Source organism: Homo sapiens, chromosome 15 (assembly GCF_000001405.40).
Source record: "Homo sapiens chromosome 15, GRCh38.p14 Primary Assembly".
In the NCBI taxonomy this organism is placed as follows: Eukaryota; Metazoa; Chordata; class Mammalia; order Primates; family Hominidae; genus Homo; species Homo sapiens.
In genome coordinates, this window is record NC_000015.10 from 87,103,893 (window position 1) to 87,130,313 (window position 26,421).

At 37.6% G+C, this 26,421-nt stretch overlaps 1 long non-coding RNA gene across 1 annotated transcript in view; it reads left to right on the forward strand.

The window, feature by feature from the left end:
- The first annotated feature begins 17,701 nt into the window (after nt 1-17,701).
- Nucleotides 17,702-26,421, forward strand: part of LOC105370955 (uncharacterized) — a 56,982-nt gene continuing 48,262 nt past the window's right edge. The window contains exons 1-2 of the long non-coding RNA XR_932582.2: nt 17,702-17,758; nt 19,973-20,081. This is a non-coding gene — a long non-coding RNA (uncharacterized LOC105370955). The remainder of the gene's footprint in view (nt 17,759-19,972; nt 20,082-26,421) is intronic.

Consider the following 26,421-nt stretch of genomic DNA (forward strand, 5'->3'; position numbering starts at 1 on the left):
GAAAATAAAAATTCAGAAGGGGTTTCAAGATGGCTGACTAGGGACATTTGACACTTGCACCCTCCATGAAGAAGAATCAAAACAGTGAGTAGATAATCACACTTTGAATGAATGATTTAAGAGAGAATACTGAAATTCAACAGAAAAGTGACAGGAAACACCTAAGGCAAGGAAGGAGAGGGAAGCTAGGCAGTCTGCTCAGCCAAGATCAGCTGGGAGCCTGGAAAGGCTCCTCAATGTGGGGAAAGTGAAGTGAGAGACTCCCATTAGTCTAAATTCCCACCATGGACTCCTGCAATTCTAGCCACAGGAGAGCCCCTTGACCCTTGCAGGCCCTGAGACTAACACAGGCAGTTGCCTGGAAACATTGCTTCAGAGAGGAAGCTCATCTTGAGTCTTAAACACCTGGTGAGACCTAAGCAGCCACATTGCAGGGCCATTTTGAGAGCCCAGCCCACAACAGACTATATCCTGCCCTGGGCCCATCAGCCCCTGCATCTTTACATTCCTGAAGCCCAACTGACATCCTTTGCCTGCAGCCACCACTGCTGCTGGATGCTGCTGCTATAGATAAAGTGCAAGCTACTGGCAGTGACACCAGCCCTGGTGACACTGCTGCCACTGACAGCAACCTTACCTTCCAGAGTAGCAGGTGCACAGTGCACTTGCATGTGCCCTGAGGAGAGGCTTCCCCATCTACCACCACCACTGCTGCCTCCATCCAAGGGGGAACCTAAAGATCACCTCATTCCTGCCCACCACAACCAATACCCATACATATCACTGGGGTTGCTGGGCTGGCCACAGATACTATACTAACCCACTCAGCCTGTTGAAACCATCACCAACACCAGTGCAGACAGCTTGGGAGCCAAATGGTTGCCCTACCATTGCTGCTGCCATCAACCACACCAAGCCTATTTCCCAGGGATCTGAGAAACTGTCCACCAATATGACCTACTGATGTCACAGCTGACACTCAAGCAAGGTACCTGGAGGTCCAAGAACTGGCCAACCTACAACCACTAACACTGATACCAGCATATGCCACCCTCAGACCAAAAGACAAGCATGCTTAGCCTGCCACTGCCACCACTGGGGCCTGAGCACTGGCTTACCTAGCTTCCCCATCCTCAGCAAAACTTCACCACAATCTCCACTGATAACTGCACCCTAAGCTACCGGGGAAATCACATATATCATTGACACTGTTTATAGCTGAAGAAAATATATGAAGACAATGTTACTGCTTGCACCCAGAACCAAAGCCAAAGTGCCCTAATCAACCAACACCATAGATATATCTTCAGGAAAATGTTTTCCCCTATGAAAGTAGATCCAAAAACGTAGACATGACTGTTACATTAAATGCACAGGTGTCAATGAAAGGATACAGGGAACATGAAAAGGCCAGGAAATATGACACCTGCAAGAAAATGCAATACTTCTGCAGCAACAGATTCTAATGAAAAAGCAGTTTATAAAATGCCACAAAAATTCAAAATAATGATATTTTAAAAGCTCATTTAGATAAAAACATAGATATACAATAAAAAGAAATCAGAAAAGTAATTCACAATATAAATGAGAAACTTACCAAAGAGATAGGATACCATAAAGAAGAACCAAACAGAAATCCTGGAATTAAAGAATTCAATGAATGAAATAAAATATACATTCAAGAGCTTTGACAATAAACTCGATCAATTAGAAGAAAAAAATTTCAGAACTTTAAGATAAGTCTTTTGAAATAACAGTCAGACAAAAATAAAGAAAAATAATAAAAAAAAAGAATGAACAAAACCAACATGACATATGGGACACCACAAAGTGCCCAAATATTTGAATTCTTAGTGTTCTAGAAAGTGCAGAAAAGACCAAAGGGGTAGAAAATCAATTTAAGAAAATAATAGCTGAAAATTTCCCAAGCATATCAAGAGATTTAGGCATACAGATACAGGGAGCTCAGAAATCCTCAAAATGATACAACCTGGAAAGGTCTTCCTCACTACACGGAGTAGTCAAACAGTCAAAAATCAAAGACAAAGACAAAATTCTAAAACAGCAAGAAAAAAAGTATCTAGTCACTTATAAGATAAATCCCAACTGACAAACAACAAATTTCTCAACAGAAACCTCACAGGCCAGGAAAGAATGGGTTGATACATTCAAAATGCTGAAACAAACAAAACAATGCCAACCAAAAATACTATACCCAGCAAGGTTAACCTTTATAAATGAAGGGAAAATAAAGTATTTCTCAGATAAGCAATAGCTGAGGAAATCCATTACCACTATACCAGACCTACAAAAAATGCTTAAGAGGGTCCTATACCACAAAGAAAAAAAGCAGTATCTATCATGCATTGTATCATGAAAACACACACAAGCATAAAACCCACTGGTCAAGCAACCACACAAATAAAAAAGAGAAAGGATTCAACTATTGCCACTACAGAAAGCCACCAAACCACAATGACAATAAGATAGAAAAGAGGAACAAAGGATATACCAAATAATAATAAAACAATTAATGAAATGACAGGAATAAGCCTTAACATATCAATAATAATCTTGAATATGAATGGATTAAACTTCCACTTAAAAGATATAGAATGGCTGAATGAATATAAAAAGTGTGACCCAACTATATGCTGTTCACAAGAAACTGACCTCACTAATAAAGACTGAAGCTAAAAAGGACTGAGAAAGATATTCCATGCAAATGGAACCCACAAGTGACCAAAAGTCACTGTACGTATAATAGATAAAACATATTTAAAATCAAAAACAGTGAAAAGAAACAAAGAATGTCATTATATAATGATAAAGGGACCAATTCAGCCAGAAAGTATAACAATTCTCATATATGCATCTAGTACAGGAGCACCTAGATATATAAAGCAAAAATTACTATTTCTAAAGGGAGAGATAGACTCCAATGCAATACAATTGGAGTCTTTAGCACTCCACTCTCAGCATTAGACAGAACATTTTGAAAGAAAATTAACAAAGAATCATTGGATGTAAACTGCACTTCAGATCAAATGGATTTAACAGACATTTAAAGAATATTTTATTAAACAGCTACAGAATACACATTCTTCTCATCAGCACATAGAAAATTATCTACAATAGACTATATGTTAGATTATAAAATAGGTCTCAACAATTTTTTTAAAAAATCAAAATTATATCAAGTATCTTCTCAGACTACAATGGAATAAAAATAGAAATAAATAACAGTAAGACCATAGAAAACTGTACAAATTCATGGAAAGTAAACAACATGCTACAAAGTGACCAGCGGGTCAATGAAGCAAATCAAAAAAATTTTTGAAACAAAAATTAAAACACAACATTCCAAAATCTATGGGATACAGCAAAAACATTAAGAGGGAAGTTTATAGCAATAAATGCCTACAACAAAAAGTGGAAAGATTTCAAGTAAACAATCTCATGATCTACCTCAAAAAATAAGAAAAGCAATAATACACCAAATTCAAAATTAGTAGAAGAAAAGAAATAATAAAGATCAGAGAAGACCTAAACATAATAGAGACTAAAAATACAAAGGATTAGTGAAATGAGAAGTTGGAATAAAGTGATAAACTGCTAGCTAGACTAACTGAGGAAAAAGGAGAAGAAAACCAAAAAAATCAGAAATAAAAAAGGAGACATTTCAACTGATACCATAGAAATACAAAAGATCGGAGACTATTAGCAACAGCTATATGCTAACTAACTGGAAAACCTAGAGGAACTAAACATATTCCTGGACACATTCAACCTACAAAGATTGAATCAGGAGGCAACAGAAAATCCAAAGAGACAAGAAACAAGTAATGATACTGAATCACTAATAAAAAATAAATCCCAACAAAGAAAAGCTCATGACTGGATGGCTTCATTGCTAAATTCTACTACATTTACAGAAAAGAACTAATATCAATTCTTTTCAAACTATTCCCCCACCAAAAAAAAAAAAAAAAAAAAAAAAAAAAGGAATTCTCCTTAACTAAATCTGAGATGAGGTCATCATCATTCTGATACCAAAAGCAGACAAGAATGCAACAAATAAAGAAAAATATAGGCCAATATAAATGCAAATGAGCTTAACAAAACACTAGCAAACAGAACTCAACAGTTCATCCAAAAGATTATACACCATAATCCAGTGGGTTTTATACATGGGATGGAAGGATGGTCTCATGTACACAAATCAATAAATGTGATACATTACCTCAACAGAACAAAGAACAAAAAATGTAATCATCTCAAAAGATCCAGAAAAAGCATTTGATAAAATTTAGAATTCTTTCATGATAAAAACTCTTAACAAACTAGGCATGGAAGAAACATACCTCAACATAATATAGGCCATATATGACAAACCCACAACTAACATCATACTGAATGGGAAAAAGCTGAAAGTCTTAAAGAACTGGAAGAAGACAAGGATACTAACTTTCACCACTTCTACTCAAAATAGCAGTAGAAGTCCTAGTTAGAGAAATAAGGCAAGATAAAGAAATAAGAGGCATTTAAATTGGAAAAAAGGAAGTCAAATTGTCCCTCTTTACAGATAACATGATCTTGTATCTAGAAAAAGCTCCACCAGAAAAATAAAACATAGAGCTTATAGATTCAGTAAAGTTGCAAAATATAAAACCATATGAAAAAATTTATTAACAGAAATTTTTATTTTTCATACAGTTTTATATTTTGCAACTTTACTGAATTTATTTTTCATTTCTACACACCAATAATAAACTAGCAGAGAATAACAAATCAAGAAAACAATACCATTTAAAATAGCTACAAATATAAAATACCTTAAAATACATTTAACCAAGGAGGTGAAAGATTTCCACAAACAAAAATGCAAAACACTGATGAAAGAAATTGAAGAGGACACAAACAAAAAGACATCCCATGCTCATGGATTGGAAGAACTAATATTGCTAAAATAACCATAGTACCCAAAACAATCTAGAGTTTCAATGCAATCTCATCAAAATACCAATGTCATTTTTCCCAGAAATACAAAAAAAAAAAATTCTGAAATATGTATGGAATAAAAAAAAGAGCCCAAAGAACCAAAGCAATTGTAAGTAAAAAGAGCAAAGCTGGAGTCATCACAGTATCTCACTTCAAAATATATTACAAGGGTTTGGTGTGGCGGCTCATGCCTATAATCCCAGCACTTTGAGAGGCCAGTGTGGGGGGTTGCTTGAGCCCAGGAGTTCAAGACCAGCCTGAGTAACATAGTGAGACTCTGTTTCTACCAAAAGTAAATATATTTGGTCATGGTGGCACATGCCTGTAGTCCCAGCTACTCAGGGGGCTGAGGCTGAAGGATTGCTTGAGTTCAGGAATTTGACACTGCAGTGAGCTATGTATGACTGCACCAATGCACTCTTGCCAGAGTGATAGAGCAAGACCTCACACCCTTCTTAATATATATTACAAGGCTATAGTAACCAAAAAATGCTTGGTATTAGTATAAAAACAGTCACATAAAACATTGGAACTAAATAGAAAACCCAAAAATAAATTCACATATTTATAGCCAAGTGATTTTCAACAAAAGCCCCAGGAACATACATTGGAGAAAGGACAGCTTCTTTAATAAATGGTGCTTGGAACACCACACAGCAAAGGAAACAATCAATAGAGTGAAGAGACAAAGAGACAACATTTTGAATGACAGAAAATATTTGTAAGTTATTCATCTGGCAAGAGAATAATATTCACAGTATACAAGGAACTGAAACAACCTAACAGTAAAAAACAAAACAAAGCAAACAAACAAAAACCAATCTCATTAAAAGGTGGGCAACAGGCATGAAGAGATAATGTCAGAAAATAAGAAATACAAATGGCCAACAAGTATATAAAAAATGCTCAACATATCTAATTATTAGGAAAATTCAAATCAAAACCATGATAAGATACAATCTTACCTCAGTTAGAATTGCTATTGCTAAAATGACAAAAAATAACAGATGCTGGAGAGGATGTAGAGAAAATGCAACTCTTGTATACTTTTGGTGGGAATGTAAATTAGTACAGCCACTATAGAAAAAAGCTTGAAGATTTCTCAAAAAAGTAAAAATAGAACTAACATGTAATCCAGCAATCCCACTACTGGGTATTTATTCAAAGAAAAGGAAATCAGTATATCAAAGTGACATCTCCACCGCCATGTTTATTGCAGCACTATTCTCAATAGCAAAGATATAAAATCAGTCTAAGTGTTCATCAATGGACGAATGGACAAAGAAAACATGGCATATATACACAATGGAATACTATTTGGTCATAGTAAAGAATGAAATTATGTCATTTGCAGCAACATGGACAAAACTGGAGGCATTATGTTAAGTGAAATAAAGCAGACACTGAAAGACAAATACTGCATGTTCTTATTCATCTGTGGGAGCTAAAATATTTGATCTCATAAAGGTAGAAAGGAGAATGATAGGTATCAGAGGCTGGTGGGATATGTGGATTGGTGTGGTTATAAAGAGAAGTTTGTTAATGGGTACAAATATACAGTTAGATAGAAGAAATGAGTTCTAATGTTTGATGGCAGAGCATTGTGACTATAATTAACAATGTATTATATATTTCAGAATACCTAGAAGAGAGGACTTGAGATATTGCCAACACAGAAATGGTAAATACTTGAAGTGATGGACAACCTAAATATCCTGACATGATTATTACCCATTCTATGCATGTAACAAGATATCACATGTATGCTATAAATAACTGCAAATATTATGTATCAATCAAAAAATTAAAATTGGAATTATCAAAGATTATGTGATCCAGGAAAAATATTGCTAACAAGGACGTTTACAGCATTAAATGCCTGTATTAGAACATATGGGAGCTCTAAAATCAATACCTCCAAGCTGCCACTTAGAGAAGAAAATTTAAGCATAAAGCAAGCAGAGAAAACAAATAGAACAGTAACCAATTAAATTGAAAACAGTAAAAGAATTGTGAAAATTTAAAAAGCCTAACAGCTAATTTTTGAGAAGATAAATAAAATTGGTAAACATCAGGCTGGGCTAACCAATGAAGAAAGAGAAGACACAAATTATTAATATTAAAAATTAAAGAGAGGTTATACAAACTGAGCTCACTGACACTGAAAGGATACTATAGAAATACCATAAATAAATCTATTAGCAAAAATGTTGATAACGCGGATGAAATAAACCAATTCCTTGAACAATGCGATTCATAAAAACTTGCACAAAAATGAAAGCGCTACATCCATCTTGTTTCACTGGGAAGTTTGTATCAACATATGGGAAAAATAATTCTAATTCTCCGCAATCCTTTGCAGAAAATAAAAGCAGAGAAAAATTTTTCTAACCCATTCTTGAGGCTAGCATCACCCTTAAACTGAAACCAGAAGGAGGAGGAGGAGGAAGAGAAGCTACAGTATCTATCATAAACATAAACAGAAAAACCTTTTAAAAAATTAGCAAATCAAATTCAATAATGACTGAAAAGAGTTATGCACCATGGTGAGATGAAAGTTTTTCCAGATATGTAAGACTGATTCAACATTAGAAAATACCGGGATGTAATCTACCATATCAACAGGCTAAGGAAGAAATGTCATAGGATTCTATCAGTTGACATTGAAAAAGCATTTTAGAAAATTCAATACTCATTCATGATAAAAATTCTCAGCAAACTAGAAATAAAGGGAAACTACTTTAACTTGATGGACAAGTCAAAAACCAATTGCTAACCTCATACTTAGTAAGACACTAAGAGTTTATGCCCTAAAATTGAGAACAAAGCAAAGAGGTCATCTCTTACCAATATTGTTCAAAATATTTGTGGAAATTCTAGTTAGTGCAATGATAGGAATAATAATTATAAAACGTACACCAATTGAAAAGGAAGGAATAAAAATGCCTTATTTACCAATGGCAATACTGTCACTCTAGAAAATCTCAAAGAATCTACATTAATACTTTTGAAACCAATAAGTGGGAATAACAAGACTGCAGGCCTCGAGGTTAACATAAAATGTTAATTTTTTTCATAAGTACCATTTACAATAAACTCCTCCTCCCAAAATAAACATTTACATATAAATCTAATACATGTACAGAATCTATATGCAGAAAAATGATAAAATACAGATGAAAACAATCAGAGTATCTAAATAGAGAGTCCATATGCATGGATTGAAAGACCCAATATTAAAACATATAGTCCGTATTTTTTATTGATATCTTCAATGCAACCCTAGTCAAAATCTCAGCAAGTTATTTTGTAAGTATCAACAACCTGGTTCTAAAGTTTATATGGAGAAACAAAGGACATAGAATAACCAAATACTGAAGAAGAAAGGTGTAAAACTTTTATGAACCAGTTTTTCAAGACTTACTATAAAACTACAGTAATTAAGATAGTGTACTATTGGGAAAAAAAATTGCCAGATAGTTTGGTTGAACAGAACAGAGAGGCCCAAAATAGATCTGTGTGAATATAGTAAACTGATCTTTGATGATGTAACAAAGTAAATTCAATGAAGAAAGTATAATATTTACAACAAAGGATGGTAGGACAATTGGATATCCCCATGCAAAAAGAAAGAAAAAAAAAAAAAGACAGAAAAAAGCAAATGAAAAAAGAAAGAACCTTACACCTTACAAAAAAGTGAATTCCAAAGGGATGATAGACCTAAATGTGAGATACAAAATTGTAAAATTTATTTAAGGAAACATAAGAGAAAACCTAAATTATGTTGGGTTTGGTGACAAGTGTTCAAATACAATGCAAATAGTATGATTCATGAAAAAATTGGTAAGTTGTACTTTAGTAAAATTGAAAACTTTTGCTCTAGGAAAGACACTGTTGAAAAAGTAAAAAGACAAGGTATAGACTAGGAGAAATATTTACATAACACACATCTGATAAATGACTTGTATCCAAAATATACAAAGACATAAAAAATATCAAAACTTAATAATAAGAAAAATAATTCTTATTTTAGGAAATAGGCTAAAGATCTGAATTAATACCTCACCACAGAAAATACACATATGGCAAATAAACACATGAAAAGCTGCTCAACATAATTTGTCCTTTGGGAAACACAGATTAAAAGAACAATAAGATACCATTGCATACCTAGCAGAATGGCTTAAAAAAAAATTCAGTACCAAATACTAGAGAGGATGCAGAGCAGCAGGGACCATTGTTGATCCAAATGCAAAATGGTACTGCTACTTTGGAAGACAGTTTAGCAGTTTCTTTCAAAGTTAAACATAGCCTTACCATATTATCCAGCAATTGTACACCTAGATATTTACCTAGTTTCTATAAATATAAGAAAACATATATTTATACAATACCTGCACATAAATGGGTATAAAAGCTGTACTCATAATGACAAAAAAAACTGAAAAAAGACATTCTTCAATAGGTGAATGGATAACTAAATAGTGGTACATTTATAGACTGGAATACTAGTCAATAATATAGTGACGTGAGCTATCAAAACCTCAAAGGACTGAACTTCAAATGCACGTTGCTAAGTGAAAAAAGCCAGTCTGAACTACATATGATATAATTTCAATTAGATGACATGCAAAAGGCAAATCAATAAAGATGGTAATTGATCAATAGTTGCAAGAGACATAGCAATGACTGATTCTTAAAGTATGCAAAGTAAATTATATATATATTTGTGTCTATATATATAAAGACATTTAGGCATGTATACAAAGTCATTTAGGATGTTGGAGGATTCTAGAATGTAAGGCAGACTCTGGTAAAATAATCGAATTGTATTACAGATATGTGAACAACCTCACCAAATGAGGTTCAGGAAAAGGTGTTAATCTAAGTAAATTTGGAAATGTGCATAGTCTGTAAAACTAAGGCAAAATAACTTTTATACAGCAATGTAATCTAATTAGTAAAGCTGTTTCTCATGGAAATATGGGTTAATAATTCTGAAACCACTATACAAAATACTGGCATTGAACAATCACATAAATGGATGGCAGATGATGTAAGGCAGGGTTCTCACTATCAGAATGGCAGTTACAGACAAACAAGGGGATAAGACTAGAATGACCCAGATGGTAATATATTTGAGTTGGACACCTCAGTATGAGTTCATAATTAGCTTAGCATAATAGAGATGGTAATGCATTGAAAAATTTATAGATATTTATATATATACACAGGTTAGCATACACATTTATGTTTCCTTGTTTTGCCTACTGAGAGGGCCTCACTCAGTGGCAACAAGGATACTTACAATCCACAGATCTTGGTTTCTATGCCGTTCTCCAATCAAAGGAATGGGAGCCACTTGGAGAAATTGGCTAGTTCTGATACAGAAGGGCTGGGCTCCCAGCTAAACCCCACCCTTAAGCCTGGAACCGTGGCCCTAAGTGAAAACAGCTGACCTCGTTTTTCTGCCCAAATGTTGCCTTTTTGGCTCGCCCCTATCCTGTTCCCATAAAAGACTTCAGGTGGCGGAGCAACACAAGCAGCTGAACATCACGGCTACAAGTGGCTGAGTAGTGAGCAGAGAAGCATCGGAGATTACGGATAGACACTGCTAACTTCAGATGGTGCAGCTTCTAGGAGGGGCCCAGCCGGAGACCGCCAGGCTTCAGGGAATGATCAGCTTCCCATCCCCTTTCCAGCCTCCCTTTTTGCTGAGAGCCACCCACTGCTCAATAAAATCTTCCAAATTCATTACCTTTCAAATGGTTCGTGTGACTTGATTCTTCCTGGACGCTAGACAAGAACCTGGGCGCCGAGAGGGCAGGGGCTGCCACTCTGACCCTCCACTGAGCAGGTTGGCACTTGGCTGTCCCCGGATGGCAGAGGTGAAAGAGCATTGGTTGTAACACATTTGGATGCTGCTCAGAAGCTTCTCTGCTCACCACTGAGCCACTTGTAGCCTTGATGCTCAGCTGCTCGTGTTGCTCCACCACCTGAAGTCTTTTATGGGCACAGGATAGGGGCAAGCCAAAAAGGCAACATTTGGACAGAAAAACGGGGTCAACTGTTTTCACTTAGGGCCACGGTTGCAGGCTTAAAGGGTGGGGTTTAGCTGGGAGCCCAGCCCTTCTGTATCAGAATTAGCCAATTTCTCCAAGGAGCTCCCTTTCCTTTGATTGGAGAATGGCATAGAAACCAAGATCTCTGGATGGTAAGTATCCTTGTTGCCACTGAGTGATGCTGCTTTGGGGCCCACACAAAGCCTGCTGTTGCCAGATGAGCAACAAGTCAGTCCCAGCGTTGGTTCATTCTGGTTCCCATATTAGCTCGCTCACACAGTCCCTCCTATGAGAAGTGGCCAGTCATGGGCGGAATGAAATGAGCCACTCCAGTTCCCACCCGCGAATGGGGTCAAGGGAACAATCCCATCTCAGTTCTAGGGCCACGACTGGAAATATACAAAATGAACCTGGACCATTTTGTAGTACCAGAAAGTAAGAAACTGCTAAAAAAGTAATTAAATATGCATATGCAATGGAGGGAGATATCAAAGGTATGTAGAGAAGAATGGAAAGAGCTCCCAATGCCCAAAGCTGGAACAATTTGAGTAAGAAAATAAAGTAGTATTGGATAACTGAAAGTATAAAGTAATTATACATGAGTTAATACTGATATAAATAAATGATTGAACAAATACATAAATGATTAGATAAATAGTGGAGAACAGACGAATCTCTCCTGTGGAAGAATTCCAAATAATTTATGTAGATACTCCACCTTCAAGGAGGTGAATCATAACTCCTCACACTTTACATAGTAATTTTCTTCCAAAGAGTACTGTGTGGAAAGTGATACAACACAGTAACTTCACAGTGGAGAAACCTGGCAAACACTGTCCCAGCCAGGTGATTATGGTTAGCATCAACAATGTTAAGCCATGCAGATAGTATATACCCTTGGTGTAATGGGAGGAAAATGGTACTTTGCCTCTGTGGGTCTTCTTTGCCAAACACATAACCTCAGCCTACAAAACATTAGACAAATCTCAAATGAGGGACACTTTACCAAATACCTGACCATTAATTCTCAAAACTGTCAAGGTCATCAAAAACATCTGAGAAACCGTCACAGCCAAGAGAGGACTATGAAGACATGATGAAGTGTATTGTGGTGTCCTGGGTGGATAGAAATAGGGCATTAGGTCAAAGCTAATTTGAATAAATATATGAACTTTAATTTTTAAAAATTGCTTTCAATCAACAGTCACTCATCACATCTGTTTATTTTTATTTAGTTGCATCATCAGCTGTGAATTAACCTCAGCCCACACCTCTTCTGCTGCCTTTGAATACTGGGAAAGAGATTGTCTGTACTTTGTTTTCAGTGCCTTTAACTAACACTAGTTACCTCACAGGAAAACCAGCCCTTTTAACCTGCCAGTTGAATTCTACACATCGAATTAGATCTACAAGCCCTTTTAACCTGCCAGTTGAATTCTACACATGAAATTCAATTTGATGCCTCTTGGAAACTAGTCCTCAATCCAACCTAGGAAAGGAGGCCAGAACTGCCTTCTGCAGTTGTCATGGTGAAACTATATTGTTCCTGATAGATATCTGTGATACAGGGCTTGAACCTAGCTGTAATCTGGTATATCTCTTCCAAGAAGCAACATTTGTTATTCAGAATGTTGAATTTATGAGCTTGTGCTAGTTTTCTTTCCTGCATCTGGAATCTCACCTATCAGCTATGCAAGTTAATTTAACCAGAGCAATTAATCTCTTTTCCAGGAAGCATTTAAAAGCAAACAATTTATTCTGTAGTTGATAGCATGTTGCTTAGAATATTAATAAACATCATAGAAGTTTATGTTATGTCATCTTTACAAAATTAAAATCCACTAATTCACTTAACAAATATTTATTAAGCATCTACTATATTCAAAACACTTCAATAGCCTAGGCAATACATCTCTACAAAAAATAAAAGTATAAAAATAAAAAATAAAATTTAGCCAGGTGTGGCGGTGAGCGCCTGTAGCCCTAGCTACTCGGGAGGTTGAGGCTGGAGAACTGCTTGAGCCCAGAAGTTCCAGGTTTCAGTGATCTGTGATAGTGCCATTTCATTTCAGCCTGGGCCACGGAATGAGACCCTGACTCTAAATAAAATAATAAAACAAAAGAACAAAGAAACACATACACTCCACTAAGCACTGGGACATTTCAAAATGAAAGATCTCTGCCTTCCTAGAGTTCTCAATATACCTGGGGAGATCAAAGAACTGACCAAATGTTTCTAACTCAAGGCATTATACGGTGGTCATTCCTATAGCACTGAAAACTTTCTGAGAAGATCAAGGCATTGCAGGAGGGGAAGATCAGAAAAGACTTCTTTGAAGTGGTCTTTGGAGGCCTCTAGGATGGTAATAAGTAAAATCAGTATTAGAGGGTCCTCTGGGAGGAATAAATGGAAAAGGCAGGTGGTAAAGTAGGGCAAGCACTTTGGAGGATAGAATTTGGAGAAAGCTGTGTTGAGTAGAGTGACGAAGATAAGAACGCATTACTGAGATGGTGAAAGCAAAGCAAAAGAGTTAAACTTTTATTTGATAGGCAATGAAAAGCCACTGAAGGAAGCCATTTGTGATCATAAAAGTGCCATGATCAGATTGGAATCATTCTGGCATCAATGTAAAGGACACATGGAAAGAGGTACATGTGCAGATTTTTTTCAGGCTCGATATTTGCAATCAGTGCTCATGATCAACTGCAGCATACTTCACTAAATATTCCATTGTCACCAAAGGAATTTATTCCTCTGAGCACAGTAGCCAGCACTGGTTCCACAAACCATGAGTTTGTTGGATGTCCAAGAGATATTCCTCTGATTCCACTTGGGATTTTATCTGTCCATGACAAAATTCCAATTCTGAATGAACGCCATTCCTTGAAGACCAGAAGCATCACATGACTTTTGTACTGCAGATACTTAAAGGGAAAGCAATGAGATGAAGTGAGAAGTTATTTGCTTTTCTAAGCCTGATAGACCAGCCAGTGCTTTTATAGAAGGCTGCTCCTCCTCTATCTGTCTGCGACAATTTCCCAGGTGGAATAATGACAGAAGAGACTGAAAAAATATTCCCAGGGATCTGGAGGTGTAAAGAGGCCTACTAAAAGCCTTGATATTTCTTTAAAGTTTTATGTTTGATTTCCAGAATTATTGTGAATTTTGGTCTTCTTTTTAATACATGTGTTCACTGCAGATCACTGTGCATTCCTGGAGTGCTCACACCCCTGTGGAAGCATGGGTAGTATAATTTTTTTTTTGTTTTTCAGAAGCAGGCAGTGTGAAAGACAGCAGATCTCACATCTACCATGCTCACTCTAAGGACAAGTGAGAATTAAAAGACCAGCTGGACCTGTACATGCTGAACCTCTAAACGGAACTGAGATACACAGACCCTTCAATATGGTCAGCTTTTCCCCATGTTCTGGCGGAGAGAAATACCAAGGCCTTTGGAGATTGAATGGTCAATCTTGAACTAATCAAAGCCTAGCTGTTTAAAACAAGGGATCTAAACTTTCCCTAACTTGATTAACATTTCTCTCTATCCAAATATGAAAAATGGGCCCATTTATTATTTATGGTCTTCCCATCTGATATTTCACCTGCTGCCAACACAGCTAAGCCCAGCCAAGTTTCGTCCATGGCTGGCCTGCAGGCAGATGATCCCAGCAAAGCAGAATTACACCCAGGGAAGCAGATGGGTGACCTTTCTCTCGCCTGCTCTCCAGACTAGAGAACAGATAGCCAAACTCTTTGGGTGGCCCAGGCCCTTTGCTTCTATAAATTAAAATACATATTTTCTGACTGATGGTCTGTTTCTCAGAAACATCGATCACACATTCATCAAATACCATCTTTCATGCATTATGGCAGAGCAGCCAGTTTTTCTATCTGAAATCCCTAACGTGATACCCGTTCCCTCCTAGCCGACCTTCCCTAAAAATAACTTAGTGTGAACTTTTTTCATTGCTTCTTTTTCCTCCTTCTTTGCAGCCATGTGTTTGAAATGTGTTTAAGATATTGTCACATTTCACATTTTAAATATCATGAGGACAGGCCAATTCTATGATATTTTAAGTGCCCTCATTATGAAACATATGGCCAGAGGGGTGGAGACGGGGAGGTGGGGAAAGAAATATGGCAAATGTAATATTTTCCCAAGGGGGGGTGGGGAACATGACCTGCAAGATGCAAGAATCTATGTGTGCCACTACTGAAATACCATCTGTTTCCATTCAAATTATCATCTTGAAATTATGACTTTTTTGCATATGCCATAATGTATAGGATTCAAGGGCCAAAACACATCATAGTGTTTGCAGTCAACTGATCCAGTTGCTGTTAAAGCTGTGGCAATTCAAAAAAATTTAAAAACCAAGAAAAACAAAAAATGTTATACATGTTGTGTTCTCATTTATATTTTTTTAAAAAAATATAGATATTGTTATTATAGAAACAATGAAAGAGATAGTCATTGATGACATCATTGATTTATTTGTCAGTTAATTCATTTATTCTTTTGTTCATTCAGCACTACTTAAGGCATCATATGAATTACACATACAGTGTATGGATATGGGGTGCAGAGATGAGAAGACAATGGTCAAACTGTTAAAATATAAACAATAAGGCCGATTGTAGAAGTTAACACAGATGTCACAGAAATACCCAAATTTTTGAGGGGAAGGGGACTATGACATTGCTCAGTGATGGAAAAATCTTTTTAAAGCAGGCCACTTTTAAGCTGATTTAAAAATTAAGCAGGATTTAGCTATACAAAGTAGATGCTGATGTTCCCAGGCTTTGGAACAAGAACATGCAATAATGTGGAAGTGCCAGTGAGCACCGGCTGCAAATAATTCATTATGACTGGAACATAAAGGGACAGAAACACAAGAGATGGAGGTAGAGGGGGTGGTTGGAGCCACTCCCAGAGAGCCTACCTCTATGGAAATCCGACAAGTACTTTGATAGATAACACCTGATTTCCTACGAGGATGAGACAATGGCCTTGATTGAAACAATATCTTGATGAACACTTGGTATAGAAACAGATTGCAAAAGCCTCTATGTAGGATGTGGCAAGAGTCACAGAGAAGCAGGCAAGCTACTTTAAGTAAGATGCAGAAAGTAAGTTCGTTTGTTACCCTGGAAGGGTGTAGAAGAGTAGAGGATAGAGAGGAAGAAGAGTAAGCAATCAGTCGGTGGTAGGATAGTGGACCTTGAGGGCAAAGAGCTAAGAGAGGAACTCCAAATGACAGAGAAAACAAAAAGGACTTTTGGAGAAAAAGACTCTAAAATTCTACTGTTTTGATTGCTTTGCCTGGGCAAATATTTCTCCCCATGCCCCCTACTCCTCTCTAAACTCTCTTTTCAGCTCCTTCAAAAAGTCTTCTGCAGTCTTGTGTATTTATATGGGAGGGTAGATCTTCTTTTGGGAAAATTAGTAAAGATATGGGTTTCTTGTTTGAAACAATATGGCTTACTGAAGGGATCACAAGCAAGCAAACAAGCAGTATTTAATTTAAGCTTTCCAGGAATTAAAATAGTAAAATAATGAGATGGATGGGCTTTGAACCTCAAAAGGATGTGTAAATGGGGTTTCAAGCCAATCTCACTAAACTTTTAGGCATAAGGAGGCATCCTAGTTGACATTTAGTTTCTGTCAGTAAAGATTTAACTGTGATAAACAAGATCAGTAATAAACACATGAAGATCTGGTGCTTTTACTAAAGGTTTTATGGTGGACTTGGGAAGAAGTTCATACATGTAAAAGAGTAGTGAGGAAACTGAATAGTCAGCACATTCATCCTTAGGAGGGCCATCTGACCATTTCCTCTCTGACACCCTGAGAACCATTTGGAAAACACAAGAAAGCACTGACCCTTAGACTTTGGGCAATGATCTCTGCCAGCTAAAAATAACCATTAGCAGATGAGGACTTTCCATCATTCTGGACTAGGTTTAGACAATCCCCTTTCTACCCATACATTTTTTTTCTATCTCACACTATACTCCAAGACATCAGAGACTCCTGAGAATATGTGTCCCTTTGGATCCTCAATGCTCTGCCCTGTGTCCTCATGAGTTAGTCAAAATATCAGTTATCTTGTATTTGTATAATGTTTAAAAATACTTATTGAATTAATAAATGTATGAATGAATTTATATGGATTAATGAATAGATTTTCCAAAGAAACGTCCAAGCTACATTTATCAAGGGTACATATGTTTTTAGAAGATTCAGAATTCTGAGTAAATTATATACTTCTGTTCTGCATGGATAGACTAGTAATATTTAGAACAAATTGAAGGTTATATGATGAAATAATATCATCAATAAAACTGACATCTAACAAACTCATCAAAATTTTTATTTACCCAGTGCTTGTTCTTAGCTATTTCACAATTCATTATTTCATCTGTACTACATCACTCAGAAATGGATAATATTCCCCTTTGCGATGAGGACATTGAAGACAACTGATGATAATCTCTGGGATTTAAGCTCAGACCCTTTGATTTTTTTCCCAGGACTGACTCCCTTTCCTTGGGTTGACAGTGAGGGTGTGAGAGTTCTGTAACCACTCGTCATTTATTTACTCTATGATGTAATCTTAGGCAAGTCATCCTTGAATGATACAGTCTCTGCCCTCTTTCCCATCTCTGCATCTCTCCTCTTAAAGATCTGGTAATACTTGACTTGCATTTCAGACTCAGCCTGGTTATGGGGACCAATATTTCCTGCATGCAGAAAAAGATGTTTGTTGTTGTTGTTGTTGTTGTTGTTTAACCCACTGAATTTAATACTTGAGAACTTCATTTGTTTATTCAACCATTTGTATACTCAGACACATTTTTAGAAGCCTGTTATTTGCCAAGAACTATTCTAGATTTAGGAGATAGAACAGTAGCCCAGACTAGAGTCCTGTGCTTACGACCTATTCTGGTGCCTGGTAACATGAGCATCTAAGCTCCCCAGGCTAGAGATAGTGAGATATAATGGGGACAACATGAACTTCAGATGTGACTCCTAGGTTCAAATCCTGTTTCTACTCCCTATTATTAGATGGGATGAAAAACAAGTCACTTTATTTCTTTGAGTTCCCATCTATAAAATGGGGGTCCCAACCTCACAGAGCCTAGTAGGCAACAAGTAAAGTAGCATTGTTAGAGTGCACAGCCAATGGCCAATGTGAAATAGGCATGTACAGTAGCTGCTTAGTCCTAGCACCTCTAGGCTGTGGAGACATCTCCTTTGTAATCCACCTGTTTTGTTTCGAGCGCCAGACTTTATATACCTTTTGCCTGGCTCAATAGCCAGTCCCACTCCCCCATTTTCTACACACTCTCTCTTGTCCCTATTTGATGTATTATCCATTCAGCATTTAGAGGTATATGTTGAAAACATGAGCCTGATCACGCCACCTTTTTGATTAGGACCCTTCAATAGTTTCCCATTTTCTTGGAATAAAATGTAAGCAAGTCCACATGGCCTGTGATTTGCCCTCCTGCCTGCTCCTATTGCCTTGCCTCGGTCCTCCACACCTTTTGCTCAGCCCTTCTTGTCTTGTTGCTGTCCCTCAGAATGCCAAGTTCATTTCCACCTTAGGGTCTTTCCATGGCTTTGCCTTCTGCCAGGAATACCACTTCCCCCAGTGTTGGTGTTTAGCTTCATTCTTCAGCTATTTCATATTTATCAACTGACTCTTGGCAAAAACACCACCTACTCACAGAGTTGTTTACTTACCACACAATAGAAAATACCCACACCCCTTAATCACTCACATTGTTTTTTACTATCTAAAATATTTATTCACTTATTTATTTTCCACATTCATACAAGAATGTAAATGACCCAGGAGTATCTGCTTGCTTGACTGCTGTGTCCCAGCATCTAGGACAGTGCCCAGGGCATAAGAGGTCTTCAGCAAATATTTTTGAATGACCTTGTGAAGGAAGTTTCTCATTTTGAATAACTTGCCCTGGCTGGTGGACAAGACTACGCAGGCTTTCTTGAATTTAACACACACTTATCTTTAACTCTCTTGAAAGAGACACCATTAAGTTAGTTAAAAGCAATAGGCAGCTATAACTGTCCCCAAAAACACCCATAAGAAGCAAGTGCACTCTCCTTATTAAAAGGGGCCCCTTTGGGCCTTGCTTGGGTAACTGTTTCATAAGGATGAGTGGGCGGATGGCCTGATTATAGAGGCCATTCTCTGTAAGCAAGTTTCCAAAAAAAAACACAAGATGTTCAGGCACAATTGCAGATTTGCTAATTACCGTCCACCTTCCTCCCTCTCCTCCTCCCCTCTCTCCTAGTCACCTACACCGAGGTGGTTGGGGGCTGTCATCCCATCGCCAAAAAATTGCTTCCTTTGCCTCCCCCTCGTTGCTCTTCATCTTTTCCCAACATAATTACCATCTTGCTAATAAGTCAAATGAGTGGGTACAGCAAAGTGGGCAGCTCCACTTGGCTGCCTCACTGAGCCGCTGGCTTGGAGTGAATGGGAAATACCGTAATAGAGCTGCAGCTGCCCCAGCACGCCAAGGGAGTCCTGCTAACAGGATTTCTCTTCCTTGGTTGTTGCTTGCAGGGATGCACAGAAAACCATCTGGAGGAAGGAGGAGTTATGGCCCCATCTCGGTTCCCAAGCTGTGCTCCTTTTGCCAAAGCTGTACCTTCCCGAACACCACAGAAAAGTCACAGCCTAATCCTTCTAGTCCGAAAAAGGACTCGGCTTACCCGGTGCTGACTCCCGCCCACCCCACCCAAGCCTATTCCTTTCTGACATATTTTCGTGTGAGTGTGGTCTTTCCCATAGGTCTATGCTGCCCTGCAATCCAGACTCTCAGTTGCGTTTATCAGCCGGTAACTCCTGCCCTGCCAATCACATTCTAGGCTGGAAGAAGGATTCTGGGTCAGGAAGGCAGTAGCGTATTTAGACTCGCCAGAGTGGAGAGCCAAGCAGCAAGGCGACTCTGGAGGACTACACGACTTTGAGCAACCTGTAAGTCGTCACTAATTTATGTGCTTTTGTAACACATTACCATGGGCATCTCAGGAACAGTATAAGGAGTGCCAAGTGCTTAAAATGCAACAGTGGGGCTATGTTGCAGAGATTCGTAATTTCATTTTAAACTCAATGGAGCCCGGACGATGGGAAAGAATAGGGTGGAGCCAGAGTGGAGAGGGCGTGGCCTTGCGCCCGCCTGACATAGCAAGACTGCAGAGGAAATCGCCGTGGCAGGAAAGCGCCTCGCCTGGACACCAGCTCCGCATTAATCACCAAAGCACACTTTCTATCCTTCTGTCTGCTTTTTCTTCTCCCGCACAGTTGAGCTCTGCACAGCTCTTCGAAAGGGGTAGGAACAAGGCAAACCTCGTCTCATCCCACGAATGACTCCCTGGTGCACTTTTAATTATTAATCTGAGCCAGGTTATTCATCATTAGGAAGGCAGCAAGCGGTACGGCCCTCACAGGCGCCATCTTTTATCACACAAATCCCAGAATACTAAAAGAGCCGATGAAGAATTATTGGAGACCCCGAAGATGCCTTTCCCTTGCCGGCTTTCTGCCCTGGGACCAGCGGGGGCTGTGCTCACGCTCTCCCTAGCTCTAGCATGCGACAGAAAAAGAGGACGTGGGATGCTTTGAACACAGTGAAGCCCCACTGATTTGAAATGAAGGGGTGAAGGTCAGTGAAGATGTGTGGAAAGCTCAAATTCAGAATATTCTTAAAGAAATCTACGCTTATCTCTTTCAAGTATATAGAATAACATATAATTATAGTTAATTAAGTGTTACCAAAAAGGAACCCTAAGGGGCAATTGGATTGAACATCGTTTTTTAGAAGCTTCTTGTTACATCAATGGCTGGTAAAAATTTGGCTTCAGGAGGGCTTTTGAAAACAATTCTCTTACATAATTTTTAATTCATTCTTTTAGTCATTCAGGCTTGAAATCATAGCGATCTTTGATTTTCCCATTTTCATGATTCCCCCCCCCAATTTTTCTTTTGTAAGAGCTATCATTAGTTGAGTTACCATGATGTGCCAGCTGACTATTATTTGTAGTTTTGATCTTTACTAAACACTGCAAAGTAGATCATTTTAGGTCCCCTTGGCAGATAAGAAAACTAAAGTTCATAGAAATTCAATGGCTTATTTTGGGTCACAAAGTTCATTGAAAAAAAATAAATAAAGTAAAACTAATATTATGCCACCTTCTTCCACCCCTCCTTAATAAAATTGCTAAGTTTGTAGATCAGAGCTATGATAAGTAAGTTATATATATATATATATATATATATATATAGGTTTATATATTATATATAAACATGTAAATATACATTTATAGGTTTATATATTATATATAAACATGTAAATATACATTTATAGGTTTATATATTATATATAAACATATAAATATACATTTATATGTTTATATATATAGGTTTCACTAGGTTCCTTATAATTTTTTTATATTAAAATATATAGAAAATGTGGGATTATATGTTAATTAAGTGTAGAGTATTTGTTTCTGATTGAGCTGTCCTTTTGGTGGCTGCCCCAGCTGTTCACATCTGTATCTAATGGATCCCAGCTATAGGTCCAACTGCAACTTTATCCCTAGGGACAAGAGATATATTCAGCCACATCATCTGGTGGTAATTGACACTGTACTGCCTTCTGGATTCAGGAGCCACAGTGCCAAAGATTAATCCTGAGTATTATATAGACTCTTCAGGATTGCCAATATGGGCTTTATCTATCCCTCTTTCTTTATAATTTCTATATCTATTTTAACCAATCTCCATCAATAACTGTAGTTCCTCTCCCACTCTAATTTGCTACACTGAATCCTTATTCTCGCCAGTTACCATTCCTCAAAAAGCTGAAGCCTGACCTATATTACGAATTATCATTAGAGGGCCCTCTCTTAAACAAACAAACAACAACAATATATCTTAAACGCATGACATAGATTTGCTTTGTTTCATGTTATCAATGGTTCCAAGGAAATTCTCATTTAGGATCACTGCCATCCAATCTCAGGATGCCTCACGTTCAAATCCACTTTTACTGACAAGACCCAAAGACGTATAACTAATGAATAGGTTCTACCTTAAACGAATTTCACTCTTGAATCTTGGCTTTGGCCTAAGGTTAATCAACATTTTTGTTCTTAACTTGGATGTTGCATATGGCCAAATCAACCTGTGCGTGACACAGAGCTGGGAAAAAGAGCTAAAAATGAGTCCAAAAAAATGTTCCAAAAGCTGCAACAATGGGCTCAATACAACATGATGAAATTTAACAGGCACAAATGTAGATTTAAAAATGAAAACCACTAACAATTGCAGACATGAATAATTGGGGGGGGGGATTTATCAATAACACATGTGAAAAAGATACAGGGGTTTTAATTGACTTTAAGCTCAGTATGAGTCAACTATGTGATATAGATGCCAAAATATTAATGCAATATTAGGCAAAAAGAATAGAAATAGCATAGACTTTTCAGAACAAGAGACCGTCATCCCGCTCATTCTGAGCCAGTGAAATCACACCTGGGTTGGGGTGTGTTGGGTTGGGGTCTGGAGAGCACTCAGGTAGTGGGGGGTCCTGGATCCATGTTATGTGAGAAGTGATTGAAGGAACTCAGTGTCTGGTAGAAGAAAGCCACAATGAGTATCTTAAAATATCCAACAATTTTGGAATATAAGGAGAATCAGAGTTCTCCTATCCTCAAGCCTATCATCTCAGCACTTTGGGAAGCTGAGGTGGGTAGGTGGCTTGAGCCCAGGAGTTCGAGACCAGCTTGGACAATGTGGGGAAACCCTGTCTCATCAAAAAATAGAAAAATTAGCTGGGTGTTGTGGTGCACACCTGTATTCCCAGCCACTTGGGAGGCTGAGGTGGGAAAATCACCTGAGTCCTGAGAAGTCAAGGCTGAAGTGAGCTGTGATTATGCCGCTGCACCCTAGCCTGGGAGACAAAGACACTGTCTCAAAAAAAAAAAAAAAAAAAGAAAGAAAGAAAATGGAAAGGAATCTACAGTAAATATAAATGGGACATTTTTATCATTTAGAATGTTCTTTTTAACTTTCTATAATTGACAGAAAAACTTGTATACATTTATCATGTACAATTTGATGTTTTGAATTATGCACACTTTGTGGAATGATTGGAATGTTCTTAAATGGAATGAACTTCACTGGGAAAAGGAGTTGGCAGTCAACAAATTTAACAGATATTGGATGAGTACCTCTAGAGCTTTATAGAAGAGATTAATGCCTTCAAAAAATCTGGGCTGGACAAGAGAAACTGTAGCATAGATATGAATGCTATACAGTCTACATACTGCTGGATAATCCTGAATCATTATATTTTTCTGTGATTTCCTCATCTTCCCAATTAAAGTGAAAGTTCTCTGAAGCCAGAGACCATGTCCTTATCCTGGGCTTCTCCTAACTTCCTTCTCTTCCTTCTAGTGTGGCTCAGAGAAAAACCCTTAATAACTATGATGACTGATAGCTGGAATTGTTAACTTACGTAGCTAATATTTTACCCCATTGGCTAAAGTATGGGCCAGCCTAACTTATGTCATAATTGTCACATTTCTGACCTGTGGAATTAGCAATAATATTCTGCATTTCTTGCATCGCTGTTTGCTCATCTCATTTGAAAGTACCAAGGTTCTTTCCCCCGAAGATATCCAGTTCTGAGTAACACGGACATGCTGGGAAATCTCTCTATGCCTTAGTGTTCCTTTTGTGAAAGGGAGGGATGAGATTTCCAAGGTCTCTTTCAATTTTGTCATTCTATGACTCTAGTCCTGTGGACTGCCTTAGGAGTTTTGATTATTTTGTCTTTTTCATATATTTCCTTCATCTCTCTCCTATGTTCCTTCAATGACTTTGATAGTATCACTGAGCTGGGTATGTTAGCATCAGATTCTGAACATAGCATCTCAAGAACTCTTAAAGATTAAATATGTAGAGAATTATAAATATTTGAAATACCCGGGGGCTGGTGTATGTACTGTCTTTAAAAAGATCTTTTTGATCTAGTATCTTTTATTTGCTTGCTTGCAAGCTGGCTTTTTTACCCTCTGCTAGAGCATCAAACTGGTTGGCAGGCTTTCAGGATGGTGAAGGGCCCTGCAGACAGTCGCAGCACCCTCACTCCCTGCTCTCCATACTTATTCCATACTCAAGATTGAGGGAAAGGATGGGACATTCACAAGCTCTGATACCGCAGCAGAGTACAATACTAAGAATTCCTTTTGCTGAGCCTGAAAAGTCTTAACTAACTATTGAAAGGTCTAAGCTCTGAAGCTTTGCTATTCACTCACTTAGGAAAGATGCATAGCCTTGCTGAAAATCCATTTTCCATGATAATGACCCTTACATTCCGCAAATAATGTCTTTCTTGAATATCTATTTCCTAATTCTTGATCGATTATAATCAAAATATTTTTATTACAGCTCTGCCACATATATGACTTTAGTAGACACAGTTTCTACATGATACTTACCTTGAAGGGTTTATTAGTTTATTATTTATTTGTTGGCTTTTGTCTGTTTATTAACATATTCCGTGCTTTTCTTTCTTGTCTTGCTTCATTCCTTCCGTATTTCTGCCCTCTCTTTCTTTCTTCTTTCTTCACAATATTTCTTCTGAAAATGCTTTCAGGTGCTTTACATAAAGGCACAGAAAAAAAGTGTAATTTAAATAAAGAGGTTATGGCAAAAGGAAAAGTGGGATGATCCTAGGATAAATATACAATGGAGTCTATGCCTAGACGATATGAGGAATATGAGGATATAGGATATATAAAGTGATAGAGTACATTCATAAAGGATATGAGGAATAGAGGACGGAGGTAAATAAACAAAATGCTTAGCAAATGCCTAACACTCTTTCTAGAATGTTGCAGTGTGTTTCATAATAGCAAGAAAAAGAGGAAAAATAAGGAATTATATGCCTCAGCATTTCTACAAGCTAAAAAGAAACCTGCTGATCAGGAGAAGCATGACTGCTACTGGTCCTGGGGCTGGAGAGAAATAAAGAGAACATCATGGATTGTTGTAGACATGGTTTTCAACAAACTTTTGCAAAAAACACAACTTTTATAAGAATGCTTCTTTTAATATTCCTCCACATGAGCATTTGCCATAATGCCAAATAGTGCTTCATTTAAAGGCATTTTGGCCAGGCACAGTGCCTCACACCTGTAATCTCAAGGCTTTAGGAGTCCAAGGCAGGAGGATCGCTTAAAGCCGGGAGTTCGAGACAAGCTGGGCAAGACAGGGAGATCCTGTCTCAAAAAAAAAAAAAAAAAAAAGGAGAAAAATTAGCCAGGCATGGTTGTGCATGCCTGTAGTCCTAATTACTCTCTTTGGGAGGCTTAGGAGGGAGGGTCACTTGAGCTCAGGAGTTCAAGGTGGTAGTAGGCTATGATAACGCCACTGCACTCCAGCCTGGGCAACAGAATAAGACTAAGCTGGCTCATAAAAAGAAAAATAAAAGCATTCTATGTGGTAAAGACAGATGGTGGGGAATCAAAAGGGTGAGGGAGAGGAAGAGACAAAATGCTTCTCTGTTGTCCAGCTTAACAAAAGGATGAATTTTCAAAAACTAGATGCATAAACTGCATATCTTTCAGATAACTTTCCATAAAATAAGAGACCTAAACTCTCTCATAAGTCCAACAAAAGTTTTGATAATTGTTGATGGTTCACAGGTTTGAGATTATAATACCCCATGACTACCAGAATATCACTATTTCCTATTTCCAGCAAAATCCAGTCCAAAGCACAAAACATTCAGGTTCGCATTAAAAGTCCTTTGATAAAAATAATTATGATTAAGTACTCTGTCTGTTGGGTATGTTGCATACAGCATTTTTATTATTTATAACAACCCCTCAAAGTAAGTATGATGTAGAAACTGAGGCATAAATGCATTTAAGTAACTTTTCCAAAGTCACAAAGTGTCTAAGAGGGTCAGATTTCAAACTCATGTTTCTCTGACTGTGTTAAGTCAATAAGATGTACGCTGGTTGCTCAGTGGGCCATGCTGAGGATCCACCTTGGCTCACTTCCTGACAAGTGCTTATTATACCTCTGGATTTTTAAAAAACTAGTATTGTTTGTTAAAATATTTGAACAGTCTTCCAAGAACCCCTATGACTCATGTTGGTCTTAAAGTGGAGCAACAATTACAAAAGGAGATTCTCTCTTTCTTAGTCTCTCTCTCCCTCCCTCCCTCCATCTCCCTTTCCTCTAGTTTTACAAAGTCTATCCAAGACCCCAGAAAAACATAACACATAATCCTGATTTT